Source organism: Homo sapiens, chromosome 10 (assembly GCF_000001405.40).
Source record: "Homo sapiens chromosome 10, GRCh38.p14 Primary Assembly".
Classification (NCBI taxonomy): Eukaryota; Metazoa; Chordata; class Mammalia; order Primates; family Hominidae; genus Homo; species Homo sapiens.
This window is the reverse complement of record NC_000010.11, coordinates 114348050-114365845: the sequence shown is the minus strand read 5'-3', so window position 1 is coordinate 114365845 and position 17796 is coordinate 114348050. Positions and strand designations below refer to the sequence as shown.

The 17796-nt window shown below is 44.8% G+C and overlaps 1 protein-coding gene across 54 annotated transcripts in view, besides 1 other annotated feature; it reads left to right on the top strand.

Moving 5' to 3' along the window:
* Positions 1-17796, top strand: part of AFAP1L2 (actin filament associated protein 1 like 2) — a 124451-nt gene that overhangs the window by 39330 nt on the left and 67325 nt on the right. For 7 of the 54 annotated variants that reach the window (XM_047425875.1, XM_017016814.2, XM_017016830.2 and 4 more), the window contains exon 2: positions 2674-2898. The exons of 45 other annotated variants lie outside the window; for them this stretch is intronic. The gene's annotated coding sequence lies outside the window, so the exon portion shown is untranslated. The remainder of the gene's footprint in view (positions 1-2673; positions 2899-17796) is intronic. 2 more of the 54 variants (XM_047425870.1, XM_047425874.1) reach the window with 1 other exon arrangement.
* Positions 14561-15453: an enhancer, noted in NCBI's record as "H3K4me1 hESC enhancer chr10:116110152-116111044 (GRCh37/hg19 assembly coordinates)". NCBI's record gives its function as "activates a minimal SCP1, AML or CMV promoter by ChIP-STARR-seq in naive H9 embryonic stem cells {active_cell/tissue: H9 hESC(naive)}" and the evidence as "EXISTENCE:reporter gene assay evidence [ECO:0000049][PMID:30033119]".

The window sequence follows — 17796 nt, the reverse complement described above, 5'->3', positions numbered from 1 at the left end:
ACTGAGGCAGGAAGATCACTTGAGCCCAGGAGTTCAAGGCTGCAGTAAGCCATGATCATGCCACTGCATTCCAGTCTGGGCAGAAGAGTAGGACCCTGTCTCAGAAGAAAAAAAAAAAAAAAGAGAGAGAGAGAAAGAAAAAAGAAAAGTAAGGGCGGTCAAAGAAAGGCTTCCCCTTAGATCCATCATGGTAACTGGATTTGGAAGAAATTGGGCTAGAAAGGCATTTGTAGGGGCCATGAGCCTCATGGGGAGTATCACTGAGGAAGGGGACCAGTTCATTGGGGCTACTGTAGGTAGTTTTCTATACAGGATAAAGATTATCTTTCTCAACCTGATCCTAGATATTATTTGTTTCTAGGAATTCTCTATGAGGATTTAAAATTTTATATTTTCATTCTAGTAAAATTTAAAAAAATTATTTGAAACATATTCTGGATCATCTGAATGGCCGCCTAATGACTGGGAGTTTGGTGCCTCATTTATATTTCCTCTCAGGTTGGTGCCCAGGGATCACCAAGAATAACAGTACCAACTAGACTCCCTGGAGGAGCCACGAGCGTATGCCTGGGGGTTCCTTCATTATGTGTTGGGTTGGGAATGGAAGAGAACAATGTCCATACCAGAAGAGAACAATGTCCATACCTAGACACTTCTGGGCCAGGGGAAGTAGGAGAGGAGAGGCAGGCCTTAAACAGACCTTGACTGCTAAGGAACGTTAGGGTACACAGAGCTGGGGAAAGTCTGGAAGCACGGTGCACAGGGGTGCCAGCCCTTGGCTGCATATGACTTACCACCTGTCTTGAACCAATGACTTAGCACATTTATGCCCCCGGACTCTGGCTCTTCATCCTGTCATGTTATTTGACTCAACTGGGAGGCCTCCAGGTACTTGAAGGCCCCCAAGAAAGGTTTGGTCTGGAACATGGATGTTAAAACAAAACAAAATTCATGACCCGAGAAGGAGCATGAGGACTCAGAAGGCTCCCCCTCCCATTCCTGGCCCTCTGTAGCCAGCCTGGTAAATCAGCTCAGCCCCCGGTAGTGGAGGAGGAAGGATCTTGCTCAGTGCAGGGGCCACAGGTGAGAGGGCTCAAAGAAGGGGGTTTATTAATTTGGGCTTCCCTGTGTCCTGTTGTGGGTTGAACTGTATTCCCCTCAAAGACATATTCAGGTCCTAAGCCCTGGAATGTGATTGGAAAAGGGTCTTAGCAAATGTAATCAAGTGAAGATAAGGTCATACTGGATTAGGGCGGGCACTTATCCCGTGACTGGTGTCCTTATAAGAAGAAGAGAGTTTGGACACAGAGACATACAGGGAGACACATGTCATGCCATGTGACAACAGAGGCAGAGATGGGAGGGATGCAGCCACAAGCCAGGGAATGTTGAGGATGACCAGCAAACTCCAGGGACCAGGCAGAGCCAAGTAAGGTTCTTCCCCAGAGACTCCAGAGGGAGTGGGACCCTGTCAACCTGTGATTTTTGGACTTCCAGCCTCCAGAACCGCGAGAGAATAAACATCTGTTGTTTTAAGCCATTTAATCTGTGGCACATTGTTGCGTCAGTCCTGGGCCATGGATACAGGCCCCCAGGATCTTGGCCCACATGAGGGGTGACTGCCAGGCCCCTTCCCTGACCTGGACAGCAGCAGGAGCCCAGGGGCAGACCCTCTGCAGTTGTCACAGCTGTGACTGAGTTTTAACAAAGCTGCAGCCTGCACAGGAGAATGTCAGCAAGCAAAGAGGGACTCAAAGAATGAAATATTAGTGACATTAACCTTTAACTAGCCCCACAGCAACAATTGCTGCTCAAAGATGCCTTGCTATTGAGTCAGCAGCACAGACAGGGTTCTGTTTGGGGAAAAGGAATGGGCTTTTAGGATCCTGGCTCAAATCCTGTTCTGCACATTAGCTATGTGTCTTTGGGCAAGGCACTTTCTCTGTCAGAGACCTCAGTTTTCCCATCTGTAAAATGGGGATAATGCTATATTTCACATAGGGTTGTGGTGAGGATTAAATAAAACAATGTGAGTAGAATGGGCATAGCAGGCCATCACACAACAGCACTGTTCTTTCATGATATGAACAGAACCGGCTGAATGTTGGAGGACAGAAGCCAAATGGACTGATCAAGGAAGGCCTCCCAGAGGTGGTGGGTGAGCAGTGAATGCCAGGCCAAAGATCTAGGCTTTGACTTTAACTCTGCCACCTGTTTCATCTATAACGTTAGGAAAGTTACTTAACTCAGCATTCTCAGCTTTACAATTGGCTAATAAAATCTCATCTCATCTCACAAGCTTGTGGAAGATTAAATGAAATTTAATTAAATTACACAAGTGCCCAGCCCAGTGCCTCTGCATTTGGTAAATGTTGGTTGGAGCCGCGACAGGGCATGAAGGACCAGGAGCCAGGATCAGAGAGCAAGGGCTCAGCCTCATTCTTCCTGCTTGGGGCTGGTGAGGGCCCAGCGGACTAGCTCTCAAGAATGGCACAGTGGACCGCTGGCCTGATTCTGGGCCAGTGAAACGCTGCCTCAGAGCGTGTGTCGTGAATTCTGCAGGCTACATGTTACGGTAAAGAAGCCGGTGGGCTCAAGGACCATCCAAGAGATGCAACTTGGAATTTCTAAGTCCAGCATACATTTCAAGAGTTGCCTCTCCTTGATTCCCAGGAACCCGTTTCCCCAGTTTGCTGCTTATGTGTTCAGAACCTGCTCCTGCAAGATGACGACGCCCAGTGCTGAGAGGCTCGGATCCCACTGTCACCAAGTGAGGGGCCGACCCCAGCGGAGAGCAGCCTGGGCACAGTCCTCTCTGGTGGGCTCCATGCAGCTGTCCCTCCCCACCTGTCGGGCTGCCACCAGGGAATTCCCCGGCCCACTGTGCGTCAGCTTTTCGTGAGTGTTATTCATAATTATCTATGGCACAGATGGAGGGCCTTGTTTCAGCAGAGTGAATGTTTTCAAATCAGAAGTTTTTGTCTGACTGATTTGAAATATAATCAAATTCTTATAATCCAGTGGAAAATCAGATTTTTTTCTAATGAGGTTAATCTTTTGTAAGTCTGTTCCTTACAGGGGCTCTTTGTTTTCTTCCTAAAGCTACGGACCCCTATTCTACTCTAGCTCCGTGAGTTGATGGGGGTGTATTAATTTTCCGGGGCTACCATAACAAATGACCACGACAGCTTATGTTGGTTTAAAACAGGTGGAATTTATTCTCTTATGGTTCCGGAGGGCAGAGTCCAAAATCAAGGTGTCAGCAGGTCCGCGCTCCCTCTGCTGATTCTAGGGAACTATCCTTCCTTGCCTCTTCTAGCTTTTGGGAGTGCCCTGTGTTCCTTGGCCAGGGTGGCATCACTCCCGTCTCTGCCTTTGTCTTCACAAGACCTTATTCTCTGTGTCTTGGATCTCCCTCTTCTTCCTCTTACAAGGACCCCAGTCGCTGGGTGCAGAGCCCTCCCTAAACCCAGGATAACCTTATCTCAAGATCCTTAATCTAATTACATCTGCAAAGATCCAACTTTAAATAAGATCACATTCACAGGCGTTAGGGGTTAGGACTTAGACATATCTTTTTTGGGGAGGGCACAAATCAACCCACTGCAGTGGGTAGTAATAACATGTATTGAATAGTGCTTTGTGTCTGGCAATTTTCATGTGTCATTGCATTTAATTCCCATACCAACCTTGAGACATAGATCTGATTTCTCCCTCACTTCTATGGGCATGGAAACCAAGGCTCAAAGAAGCGATAAAACTTGCTGAAGTTCACAGCACTTGTTAGTGGAACTCCTAAATTCCAATCCAGCTCTCTCCACTATACAGGGTCCACCCTTTATCATAAGAAAGAAAAAATTGAATAGCTGTCGTGGTAAGATAGTAAAATATCCTACCATCCATTTTTGCATAGAGAATCGCAGAAGAATACCAGAAATTTTGCATGGAGCCTCATCCAAGAGGTGCAGAAAAGCTAATATAACCTAATTCTAGGTTATAGCAGGATAACCTATACTGAGACATGTGGATGTACACTCCAAGAGGGCCATACCCATTTTATTTAGTGACAAAATCTAAGGGTCTAACACATGTTAGGTGCTCCATACATATTTGGTGCAGAAGTGAGTTCCCAAGGAAATGAAGCCGTGGGAAGCACAACGATGTAGCTGGCTTGGGACAGGGCTCCACTATAGGATGTGACCTCGTAGCTGCCAAAGGGAAGCCAAGATGTTTCCATCACTTTGCAAACCCAGCACCAGAGGTGTCCTAGCCTCTCTGTTCAGGTTTCCTGTGTCTGATGGGAGTACTGATCTTGAGTGAGTACTGTCCCCCGGCTTTCGGTTTAACGTTTTACAGGGTACCTTCAGGGTATGAGTCTGTGTTAAAAGTCAGGTGCCCGGAGTTTGGGAACAATCTCCAGACAGTCTCATTGATATTTCTGGACTGGGATAGGTTAAGGCATTACAGGAATGCTACTGAATTCCACACCTTCCCAGACAGAAACTTGCCCACCTTTTTCTGCTCATGTTGATTTTCTGACCCTTGGTCCTGTGATTCCACCAGAAGAGAATATATGTAAGTGGGGGTGATATGGTTTGGCTGTGTCCCCACTCAAATCTCTTCTTGAATTCCCACGTGTTGTGGGAGGGACCTGGTGGGAGGTAATTGAATCATGAGGGCAGGTCTTTCCCCATGCTGTTCCTGTGATAGTAAGTCTCACGAGATTTGATGGTTTAATTATAAGGGGGGAGTTTTCCTGCTAAGTTCTCTTCTCCTGTCTGCCGATATGTGAGACACACTTTTCACCTTCCACCATGATTGTGAGGCTTCCCCAGCCATGTGGAACTGCGAGTTCTCCATTAAACCTCTTTCCTTTGTAAATTGCCTAGTCTCAGGTATATCTTTATCAGCAGCATGAAAACAGACTAATGCAGGAGGAAATCATTGTAATGATGCAGGAATTTTGCTTGAAAAAGAAAATGCATGTGGAAAGTTCTGAGAACTTCTGACCCTCAACCCCAAGATATTGTCCTGATCTGTGGGGTTTTGAACTATGTTCATTGGAATAAATTTGGGAGATAAAAGTACCTAGGAAGTTTTAGGTTTCAGAATAATAGTGGTAAATGGTTTAATTTCCAACTGTGTAACATTTTTCTTGCCATTTAAAAAATGTATTTCAAATTGAACAGATTATCTCCTTGGTTTGCAGAAGCTCTCTGTACTAGTCAGGTTCTCCAGAGAAACAGAACCAGTAGGTCGGTCTGTCTATCTGTCTGTCCGTCTATCTATCTATCTATCTATCTATCTATCTATCTATCTATCTATCTATCTATCTAACTATCTATCTATCTATCTATCTAGATATTGAGATATCGAGGTATCTATCTATTTGGGAAGAGATTTCTTATAAGGAAATGACTCACACAATTATAGAGGCTGAGAAGTCCTAGGATCTGTGGCTGGCAAGCTAGAAACCTAAGAGAGTCAATGGTGTAGTTCTAGTTTGAGTCTGAAGGTCTGAGTACCAGAAGATCCAATCAGAGTTCCAGTCTGAAAGCCTGCAGGTTTGAGACCCAAGAAGAGCCAACTTTTTAGTCCAAAGGCAGAACAAGACTGATGTCTCAGCTCAGACCGACAGGCAGGAGGAATTCCCTCTTAGTCTTTTGGTCCTATTCAAGTCTTCAGTTGATTGGATGAGGGCCAGTCACATAGAGGGGCCATCTGCTTTCCTCAGTCTACTGATTCAAATATTCCTGTCACCTAGAAACATCCTCACCAGCACATCCAGAAGAATGTTCGACCAAATGCCTGGGCACCCTGTGACCCAGTGAAGTTGATGCATAAAATTAACCATCACACTCTCTTTGTGGGAAAATGTTTGTCCTTAGCTCTGGTAAGGTGGCAATGTCATATATGTCCTTGGTGACATATATGTCCTTGGTGAAGGACACCAGTTAAAACAGGATTGGAGGGGCCAAGGCAGAAATCCAAAAGAGGAGCCCTTAAGATGGGATGTTTACTTAGCCTTCTGAGTTTCCACTGGCTTCCTTTGCCTCTTGCCCTGACCACGTCAGCACCTTTAGTTAAATGAATGAAAGAGATGATGGATAGGATATACTATTACAGTGTACCAAGAACTATCTGGGTTTCTTTGTCCAGGTCCATACTAAGCCAACAGATCACTTGTTTGAAGCCTAAAATCCAGAGGAAAAGGCTTTGATTAAAACATTATTTGCCAGCCAACCTTTACCTTCCTTTAGCAGTTCTAACTCCCCATGAACTCATTCTGATGAGCAGAACTGCTCTGCAGGGTGCGGGGAAAGTTGATCCATTTGCAGATGACTCAGATGAATGACACCAGCAGTACTGGTCTGTGGATGTTCCTTCAGCCTCCTTCGCACCATCTTTCATTTCCCAGTTGCTCCATTAAGAAGTACAAGGAAAGTTTACACATGGGGCTCACAAAATGCATTTGAGTGGTGGATTTGTTTTCTTATTAGCTAACTTTATCAGAAGTCATATAGCCTTTTGAATACCAAAAGTCATTTTAAACCCAATTATAACATTGTTATGGTTTGCAGTTTGGCCACCCATGCTTAACAAATATTATACTAACAAAATCATCACCATGCTGGATTTGCTCATAAACCTGTCAAGTGTTTGAACAACTCAGTGTTACACACCAGGAATCCTAATCACAGTGGTCTCAGTTCTTACATTACCTCTTGTAATGTATTTCTTGAGTCTTTTTACCATTTTCTTTTACTGTTTGTTCTCAGAGGATATGATTTGATCACTGACAACTTGTACTAATAACCAGGGTCAAAATGGACCATAATTCTCCTGTATGTATATACGAATCTAGGCGAACAGTCGTCTCTTAGATATACCTTCTCTGCTAAGGCTCTATTTTCTTTTTTTTTTTATTTTGAGATGGAGTCTTGCTCCTATTGCCCAGGCTGGAGGGCAGTGGTGCAGTCTCAGCTCACTGCAACCTCCACCTCCCGGGTTCAAGCGATTCTCCTGCCTCAGCTTCCCCAGTAGCTGGGATTACAGGTATCTGCCACCACGCCCGGCTAATTTTTGTATTTTTAGTAGAGACGGGGTTTCGCCATGTTGACCAGGCTGGTCTCGAACTCCTGACCTCAGGTGATCCACCCACCTCAGGCTCCCAAAGTGCTGGAATTACAGGTGTGAGCCACCGTGCCCAGCCTAAGGCTCTATTTTCAAATGACTCTGGTTTTTATGATCATTATTATTATTATTGTTATTGTTATTTGTCATTGAAAGAAGAAAATGTAAGGGAGGCCAGCTGAGGTGATGGTGGAAGGAGTTAGAGTGATTTGAATTCAGATCTGGATTTTCTGGCTGTGTGACTTTGGCCAAGTTATTTAACCTCCCTGAGTCTGTTTCTTCATCTAAGGGATGATGAGATATACCATGTAGTTTTATTATGAGTCTGAGTTCAGTGAGATATCCTTTGTCATCATTTGGCTGACTTTATTATTAATAAAAGCAATTTCCCTTGTTTGGGTTGTAGACTTATTTTTCTTTGACTGCTTTATTATTGATAGCATTTTGTGTTATTTCCTTAACTGTAATTCTATCTTCCTAGTTTATTTCAATAGAAAATTACCCATCATAAAACCTATTAATCCTTGTTGCCGAATTTAGAGGTCATTGAATTTTTGCTTTACTTTATGCCAAATTATATTCAGAACAACAGAAAACAAAAGAGAGGCTTGTTTATTCCTAGGTTTTTCTAATTCAACTTCACTTTGAAGTGAGCAACTCCCGAACCACACTGGGATTCAGAGCTAGGATTGTTCTGGGGAGGCTGAACTCTCAGACATGATGCTTATACTGTAGGAATCTGGTTTGAGATTTGAGACAGACACAATTTTAGCATTGAAGGCCCTTAAAAACACTTAGAAAGTGTGTATTGTCAAAAGAAACTTAACACACTGCAAATAAGCCCCTGTGAGGGAATGGAAAATAACCGTGGTTGGAAGGACAGGAGCTGATTGACTAATGGTTGATTCTAAAATGTCACTGATTCTAAGAAACATTTCCTTTTAGTAGCACCCTATTTGAGGGACACAGCTACATTAATGCAAACAGAATTGCAACATGCATTCTTCTTTTATTATTTCAAGGAATACATGTAAATTAGAAATGGGGAAATTGGAATTTGCATGTTTATCTTCCCCACTGCATTGCTTAGCAAGACCCAGGCAGAGAGAGAGAGCCGATACTCACTACTGCTTTCAATGGAATATTGGATATTCCATATTGCATATCCAACATGGAATATTGGCTATGCAGTCACTACCTGGGAAATGTTGTTGTGGGTAGACAAGGGTACTGTGAGATTGGGACAGGGAGGGGCTGAAATGCTGACCACACCTTGGGGCCTTGTTAAAGCCTGGCTTCAAGGTCAAGGGGATAACAGTTCAGAGTGAGTATGAGTGTGTGTGGGTGTTGCATTAGAGAATGTGGTTACACCAGAGAAAGAGTAGCTAAAGAAATTTAAGGGTGTTTGAAGTTGGAGGCCACAGTGTTGGAGAAATTATAGCAAGGAGCATAGGCAGGGCAGGGAGGTGAGGATCCGAGGCGTCCTTTTGAGACTGGCCAGAAAGGGAAGAGAGGATTTGATTAAAGAGCCAAATGCAAACTATTCCCCAAATGAAATGCTCTGGAAGAGTCTGAAATTGTACATCAGCAGTTTCTTTTGACAAATTTTGGCTGAAACATTAAAGAAAAACAATGGTCCAACTCAAAACTCTGTGATACCTTTAGCTTGTTTATATAATGGGGCTTCAAGGGTTTAATTTAGAATATTTCTGTGATGAATAACTGGCTCTTGTTCATGTAAACAAAGTACAGCCTGCACGGAGTAACCACATTTTTTTCATCCAGGGCACAGCTGTTTTCCTGAGGAGAGAACTTTCCTTTTTTAGAGCCTTCTCACCTTGGTAAATCATGACCAACACATGTAAAAGCCCTTTTCCAAGCTTTACTCACTGCTCCCATGGAATTCTCATTCAAGAATAACCTTTCTTCTTTCCTTTGCTCTCTAGGATACAAAACTACTCGAAATTGGGTTTAGAAAGCCTTGGGCAGGAATAGGAAATTTGGGTTTTCTGTGCAACTTGGATGAAGTCCCTTTCTCTCTCTGAACATTGTTTTGTTTTGTTTTAATCAGAGGGATGACTTTTAAAAATGCTCTGATGTTTTAGATCAGTACTATCCAATAGAAATAAAATTTAAAACACATATGTAATTTTAATGACACTTAAATTTAAATTACATTTAACATTTTTAAACATGAAAAATAGATGAAGTTAATTTTAAGAATAGACTATTTAACTCAACACATCCAAAATATCATCATTTCAACATGTCATCAATATTTTAAAAATGTTTATTTTACATTCTTTTTGTTTGTTTGGCGGGGGAAACCGAAGTTTCTTGGAAACCAGAAGTTTTTTGGAAAGCAGGCACAAACTAATTTGGAGATAAAAACGGCCCTGAAATGATGTGAGGCGACTCATTATCTGTTTATCCCACTTACTATAAATAATTGTGTATTTTATTATAGAAATATTAATGTACTTTATTCCTGAGTATTTCCCCAGACTCTGCTGGGGGAATATGCACCATGTTACTGTTCCAAAATACACTGAATTTCAAAATATCTCTGGCTTTGGGAGTTTCAGATAAATGTTTTTCAAACTTTTTGATTGTGACCATAGTAAGAAATGTATTTTATATACATGGTAAGAAATGTATTTTATATTGTTCCCCAGGGTGTGCACACACACCTATGCACACACTGATGCACACACACATACACCTGAAACAATCTTTTTTGAGACAGGGTCTCACTCTATTACCCAGGCTAGAGTGCAGTGGCGCAATTACTGCTCACTGCAGCCTCGACCTCCTGGGCTCAGATTCTCCTCCTACCTCAGCCTCCCTGGTAGCTGAAACCACAGGCATGTGCCACCATGCCTGGCTAGTTTTTTGTATTTTTTGTAGAGATAGGGTTTTTGCATGTTGCGCAGGCTGGTCTCAAGCTCCTGGGCTCAAGTGATCCAACCACCTTGGTCCCCCAAAGTGCTGGGGTTACAGGTATGAGCCACTGTGCCCGGACCCGACAGAAATTTTTTGATAGAGTATGTGCCTTTATTAGATGGTATGCATTCAAATATTTTCTACTACATGTATTGCAAAGACTTTATTTTTAGAGCAGTTTTAAGTTCACAGCAAAACTCAGCAAAACTTTTTTTTTTTTTAAGCTACCAGTGCTAATGCACTGAATTGACAGCACAGCCCACCTAAAAGACTATGCCCATAGTTTCCAAAGCACTGCTGTGGGCCCTGTACTGGGGACCATGGAGAGTCGCACAGGGATGTGAGCATCAGTCAGAAAAAAGAGAGAGGAGAGCCGGGCGTGGTGGCTCACGCCTATAATCACAGCAGTTTGTGTGAATCCGGGAGGCGGAGCTTGCAGTGAGCCAAGATCGTGCCACTGCACTCCAGCCTGGGCAACAGAGTGAGACTCCGTCTCAAAAAAAAAAAAAAAAGAGAGAGCGAGAAGAGAAAGGCTTCTGTGGGGGAGGCAACCTCCCCCCACCCGCATCCATCCCTAGGCCTGCTATACTCCACTGTGGTTTAAATAGCACCGATTACAGCCATACCCCTCGGTGTTTGTTGGCCATCATCAGCACTTTTCTAGTTGTTTGGCCATGGTTTATCCAGGATAATTACCTGGTCCTGTCGATTTTGTGCTTGGACTTTTCAAAGGGAGCAAGAAAGTTAGATTCTATGGGGCCATTGTATGACCTTGAAAAATTGGGGTATGCCTTATATAGGGAATGGTTTATATGGAGCCACCATTTGTTCAACCTTCACTTCTATATTTAGAAAGGCTTTTTGGTCATCAGTGACTAAAGCCTAGCTTATGTGAAAAGGGAATTTGTTGGTTCTTGTAGTTGGCAGGTGCAAAGTTAGCTTCAGGCATGGCTGGACCTAGGGACCCTAGCTATGTGGTCAGGGCTTTGTCTCTTTCTCTAGTTATTAGCTTTGTTCCTTCTGAGCACTGGCTTAATCGTTAGACTGGAAAAAGAGGGGTCTCCTCTAACTCCAATTATGCATCCTCATGGCTTGCAATCCCAAGAGAAGAAAGATCTCTTTCTCCCAAAGCCCATATAGCAAATCCCAGATAACAGTCTTGCTTGAATTAGTTGAACTCATCACCAGGGCCTGAGGGATGACCAGACCTCAACTACATCCCCTTCTCCTATGGCTTAGGTGGGGCCGGTCAAATCTGAACCATATGGGATAGGTCCTCTCATTATACAAAGAAGGAGAAAAATAGACCAAATGATTAATTTCCACTCATTATTGTTCTCTAACTTCTTCAAGGCTTAAGAGGACTGATTTCAAGTTGATATGGTTCAGATAAAGGAATTACACACAGGCTGTCCCCTGATTATTGGTTCTTGTCCATTAGAGGTGCTACGATCAGCAGAAGCAAGTTAGTCGAAGCTTGACAGCCATTCAGAACCACCTGCTATACTAAAATTGCTCCTTTGTGTGGCGGCTTTTGCTCTTCCACTCTTCCTAATATTAAGGATCATTTTAGGCAGACCCTTTTCTTGTGGTGCCTCATAATTTAACAATCACGTTCCATCCATTTCATCAGCTATTTTGGCCTCTAGGTTCTGGCCCCTGGCACTGAGGACTCAGGCGCGAAGGTTCCGGGATGGCATTCTTTCCACAGCGGTCGTGCTCCATGAGCCAAGAGTTGCAGCTTCCACTCTTGTATCTCCCATCAGGCTACCCCAGAGGGCTCCACAATCTTGAAATCCGTCAGCACTCCCTGGAATAAGTGAAGGTCTTTCTTTACATCCTTCCGTCTCCCAAGATGCCATGCCTCTGCTCTACTTGGCCTCCTGGGTCTTTGGAATTCCCCCTTCCATTTCCACCCTTTTTTTTCTAAGGCTGGTGGAAGTTTGTCTTCACTGTCCTCTATCCACTTATCCTCTGTCCCCCACCCCAGGACTTGGTGACATTATATCCCAGGCTTCTCAAGTTGCTTTTATCTGGATCTTTTCCCACACTTTGCTGTCCTTAGAATGTTTTTGAAGTCCACTCTCTGTACAGTCTGTTTTAATAAGCAAATCTTTACCAATGTAAGGTCGACTCAGAGCAATGGAATAAACTCTAGGCTTGGGGCCAGGAGGACCTGTTGATTCTGAGCGCTGAACTTGCTGTGTGACCCTGGTGGAACCACATGGCCTCCCTTGGCTTCAAATCTGGGGATGGTAATGCCTACTTCACAGAATGAACTAGAATTGGATCTGCAGACTGCCTGGTCCAGATTTTGGGGTCCAACAATGTGCTAGTAGTTCACTCTCAGTTTGCAAGCAAAAGAAACCTAATTCAGGCTGGCTTAAACAAACAAATAGGGTGCTTTGGCCACATATTACTGAGTGGTATAGAAGAACAGCTAGTTTGAGTCATGGCTGAATCTAAGTGCTGAAATGATGCTGTCAGGAATCTCCAGGCCCCGTTTCCCTCCTCAGGCGGACTGTTTCTGGAGATGGCCACAAAAGTTTCAGGCCAACATTCTAGCAGCTCAACCCCCAGGAAGGAAAAGCCCACTTCCTAGTAGTTCCAGGAAGAGTCCCATGGCTGATGCTCATTGGCTTGGCTCTGGTCATGGGTCTGTCTCTAAGCCAGTCATTGTGGCTGGGGAATGAAATGCTCTGACTGGTTAGGTCCAAGGTCACGTGACTGCCCATGGAGTTGGGTGTGGCGTTTTAGTTCCACAAATATAGACAGTAAGGAAAGGGGGTTTCCCCAGGGAAATTTGGCTCCAAATATGAGTGAATGGATGAGGGGGAAGGGGGAAAAGCAACAGGTATCCACTGTACACAGTCATGGATTATTCCTTCTAGGGCAATGTTGATAGTGCCGTGCTGTTTGCCGAAAGGAACATTGCCCCTTGTGGCTGTCGGAGCAGTGGAAAGGGGGCAGACAGGCAGAAGGATGGAGAAAAACACCAAAGGACCTGGTAGACACTTCTCAAATCATAGCATGGAGCTGACGCTCATTCTTTCGACCTGTTTCTAGTGTTGGCTTTAACCTGTTGACACCTGGGCTAAGCTACAGAAAGCTTTGAAAACCTTCACTCGTTCATTCTCAGTACTGTATGTTTCTATGAAGGTGGTTTCCTGCAAGGGTTTAACCCAAATTCCTCCTCACCTGCCCCTGTTGCTGTCTACCAGGACATAATTTAGTAGTTCTGTAAAATCAAACAGGACATCTCCGGTTGCTTTTTTTTTTTTTTTTTTTTAATTTGGAGACAGAGTCTTGCTCTGTTACCCAGGCTGGAGTGCAGTGGCTCCATCTTGGATCACTGCAACCTCTGCCTCCCTGGCTCAAGCGATTCTCCTGCCTCAGCCTCCCGACTAGCTGGGACTACAGGCTTGCACCACCATGCCCAGCTAATTTTTTGTATTTTTAGTAGAGACGGGGTTTCACCATATTGGCCAGGCTGGTCTCAAAAGTCCTGACCTCAGGTGATCTGCCTTCCTTGGCCGCCCAAAGTGCTGGGATTACAGGTGTGAGCCACTGCACCCAGCCTACAGCTGCTTTTTTGAAGCTGTCTGCTAGAATTGTAATGTGTGTGTGTATTTACAGTCTATGGAGAGTTTTTTCTACCACTCTTATAAGAGGAATGAGGGTTTTATTTAGCAACTAACATTTAATGTAGTATAAGCACTTTAGGAGGTTATTTTGTGATCTTCACATTAATCCCACGAATTAGTCCCTAGGTACAATTATTAGCCCTATTTTACACACCAGGAAACTGAAGCATAGAGAGGCTCATTAAGCTCCCCAAGGCCACACAGCCAGTATATGGTGCAGCCAAGAGTGAGCCAAGATGTGGAACTAATATTTAGGCAATTTGAATCTGGAGTGTGGTACCTGTGGGAAGGGCGGAGGTGGCTGCTTCTTGCAAGATCAAGAACCCAGGGCAAGGGGAACTTGACTCTTAGGGCACTTCCGGTTCAGAGGGCGCATAAGTTCAAGTGAGAGGCACTGCAGTTTCCAGCAGCCACCAGGGGCCAAAGAGGCTTGGGGCAGGGGGGTGGCCCAGGAGGCCTTCGTTTCTCCTGCCCAGGTTCCTTGAAGCCCCAAGGAAGGGCTTTTGCCTGGTGGTCCAGTGGGCACCTAATCAGCCTCGCGTGCCTCCCCCCGGTTGACTCCAACCTCAGAGTGGTGGTCACTTTGGATTGCTGGGGCTGATTTTGACCTGCTTGGAGGCAGGGGCCTGGACAGGATGAAAAGGTCCCGACCAGCACACCTGTCCAATGCTGTCTCATTACTTTTGCCAAATGCTGGAAGGAAACAGTAAATCTGGACATACGGTGATTTTCCCCCTTCCATCCATCTTTAATATGTCTTTTTTCTCTGATACAAATATCAAGTAAACAGGGACAACCTTAGATTTACGGCTCCAAATGAAAACATAGCGGCCACTGCACAACTTCTTTTCTCTGCGTAAAAACTCCATGCTCTTCTGTGTTGAGGAACAGGGGAGGCTATAAAGAAGGAGTGAAAATTTCCCATAGCCCCTCCACCAAAAGATAATTGCTGTTATCATTTTCCAGCCTTCTTTTTTCCTATCCAACACAGCCTTTCCAATGTGAACTCGAGTGACCCCCATCAGCCTCTTGTTCTGAGGCTAAAGTGGTTTGTGCTGGTTGTGGGACTTGCCGCGCAGGGAGATACCCAGGCAAACCTTTGTGCCTCCCACCCGCATAACTGGCCCCCGCTGGCTCTGAATGAAGCCACTCTTCTGGTAGATTGCATTTAAGGAATGTCTTAAATGGGCTGAGGAACAAAGGCCTCCCGGGACCCAAAGCCTCTTTGTCTGGCCTGGACCCTGGTCGCCGCTGGAACCTGGAGTGTCTTGAGTCTGCCCTCACGTGCCCTCTGAACTGCTGGAGTGCCTCAGGGGTCGGGTTTCTTTCACCGTGGGTTCTCTCTGATTCTGATCCCTAGGGGAGCAAGCCACCTCCATGCCCTTCCCACCTGTACCCTTGAGAAAATTCTCCCATCAGAGCACCATCCAAGAGTGAGATGCCTCCTGTCCTTCCAGCCCATCAGCTGCCAGGGGCTGCCTCTGGTGGCTCGTTTTAGAGACGTTAACTGGCCCAGATGGGACTTGTGAGCCCTTTGCCCAGGTCTACTGGACTGACCAGCCCAGAACCTTTAAATAGGAGGAGGTTTCGTTAGTGAAGGCAGGTAGTATGTGTCTGTCTATCTGTTTAGAAGCCTTATGTTCGGCAGATGTTCTCCAAGCACCGACCTTAGCAAAGCACTATCTAGGCACAGAGGGGGAGGAAATCAAACCAGAAGATATAGTCCCTACCCACACAGAAGTTTCAATTTCATTTGGGGACAAAGGACTTGCATCCATGGGACAACAGAGAACAATAAAGACGGCTGAATCGTCAAGTAATAGCCCTGTGTGCTATTGGGCCGGATGGACAGGTAGTGCTTCTGGGCAGTTCCAGACAGAGTGGATGTGGCCCTTGGTAGGACTGAGGTCTTTTCTCCTTCTCTGTGCTTGGTTTCATGTCTTCAGCTGTGACTGTGTGAATTTTCAAAGGCCCTGTCTGAGAAGCTCTGATTCCAGCTGGCTCCTAAGCTGGGGTTGGAATTCTGCTCTTGGGGAGTTTTGTTCCACTGGAGAGGTCGGCAGTGAGCAACTCAAGTTGTTTTTCCAGTAGTGCAAGCCACAGCCCAGCATCTGTCCTGTCTCAGTTTCAACGGCTAATCTGGGAATGTGGAGGGTGGGCTGTTCCTGGGGAAAGTGTTTTAAGTGATGAGACTCAAAGATAGGTGAGAAAAAGCAGATCTTGCAAAAATGATGGCAAGATGACCCTTGCAGGCCAGGCTTGGCGGGAGCAGAGCATTCACAGTGCTAGCAAGTGAAGCAAACCCCCCCGCCCCCCTCGCCATTTCTTGGAGATGGAGATAAAGAAAAACTTCTTGAGTATTTACACTGGAGAAAGTTATTTACATTTGGCTCAGTTTACTGGGTTTCAAGCAGGCAGAAATGACTACAGTCTGCTTTGGGTGCTGATTTTCAGGGATAAGAGCTTAAGCAGGACAAAAAACTGAGTACAGTGATATGTAAACATATAGATATCTTGAGACATCTTGACCCTTGCCTTCTACACTGTGTTCTTTTTTTTTTTTTTTTTTCCAAGCGACAAGCTCTCATTATGTTGCCCAGGCTGGATTTGAACTCCTGGGCTCAAGCAATCCTCCCACCTCCAGGGTAGCTGGGACTACAGGTGCATGCCACCACACCTGGCTCAGTCTTCTTTTTTCTTTTTTGTTTCTCTTTTCTTTTCTTTTTTTTTTTTTTTTTTTTGAGACCGAGTTTCACTCTTGTTGCCCATGCTGGAGTGGAGAGCAATGGTGCGATCTCGGCTCACTGCAAACTCCGCCTCCTGGGTTCAAGTGATTCTTATGGTTCAGCCTCCTGAGTGGCTGGGATTACAGGTGTGTGTCATCATGCCCAGCTTATTTTTGTATTTTTAGTAGAGGCGGGGTTTTGCCATGTTGGCCGGGCTGGTCTCAAACCCTTGACCTCAAGTGATCCATCCACCTCGGCCTCCCAAAGTGCTGGGGTTACAGGTGTGAGCCACTGCACCTAGCCCCAGCCTGGCCTTCTGCACTCTTACTGTCCAGAAGGAAAAGGACTTTAGGAGAAAATGTATTTTGAAATATATCTGACTTTCTATAACAGGCATGAGCCTAGAAAGTTCTACATGTAGATCAGAAGGATCATATAGGAGCACTTTGAAAGTTTGCATTTTTTTACACATAATTTTATTAGGTAAAAAGACTTCATAAAGCAAATCATCACAACTTTAGCTAGGCAGTTCTTGACCTTGGCTGTGCATTAGACTCACCTGGGAAGATTGAAAAGTGCTGCCCCAGGTCACACCCAGAGGAATGACAGCAGAATTCTGGGGGTGCACCCAGGCATCAGGATTCTTATAAGTTTCCCCAGTGATTCCAGTGTGCAGCCCGGGCTGAGAATCACTGCTTTACCTCTTGTATGCATGCCTCTGAGTGGCTACACATTGCGTGAACTTAAAGTAGAGCACGTCCTGTAAAGTCAGCAGTGAGGTGCCTTTGAGAGCATGGCAATCTGGTGTGGGAAAGCAGGAACTGCTGTTCTGTGCAGAAGTGCCCAGCAGAGGGGCTATAAAGATTCTTCCTACATCTACACGATGGAATGCTATGTAGCAAGAAAAAGGAGCAAACTTCTCATGCATTACAACCGGGATGAATCTCATATGCCTTATGTTAAGTAAAAGAAGTCAGACTCCGAAAGCTATTCCTGCTGCCATGCTGTGGGAGTAGGGAGAGGGCTGCCTATAAAAGGCACAAAGAAACTTTCTCGGGTAGTGGGAAGGTTCTGTGCCTAACACAGCTGAGGGTGTTTCTCAAAACAAATAGAATTTCACAGTAAAAACAGGAGCGTTTACTGTATTTAAATTATATCCCAATAAAAAAGTTTTTTGTTTAAAAAAGCCATTGCCTTATCAACAATGAATGGGTAAGTAGAATGTAGTATATCCATATAATGGAATTGTACTCAGTCTTAAGAAGGAAGGAAGTAGCCATACCTACTGCAACATGGATGAACCTTGAAAACATAATGCTAAGGGAAAGAAGCCAGATGCAAAATGTATA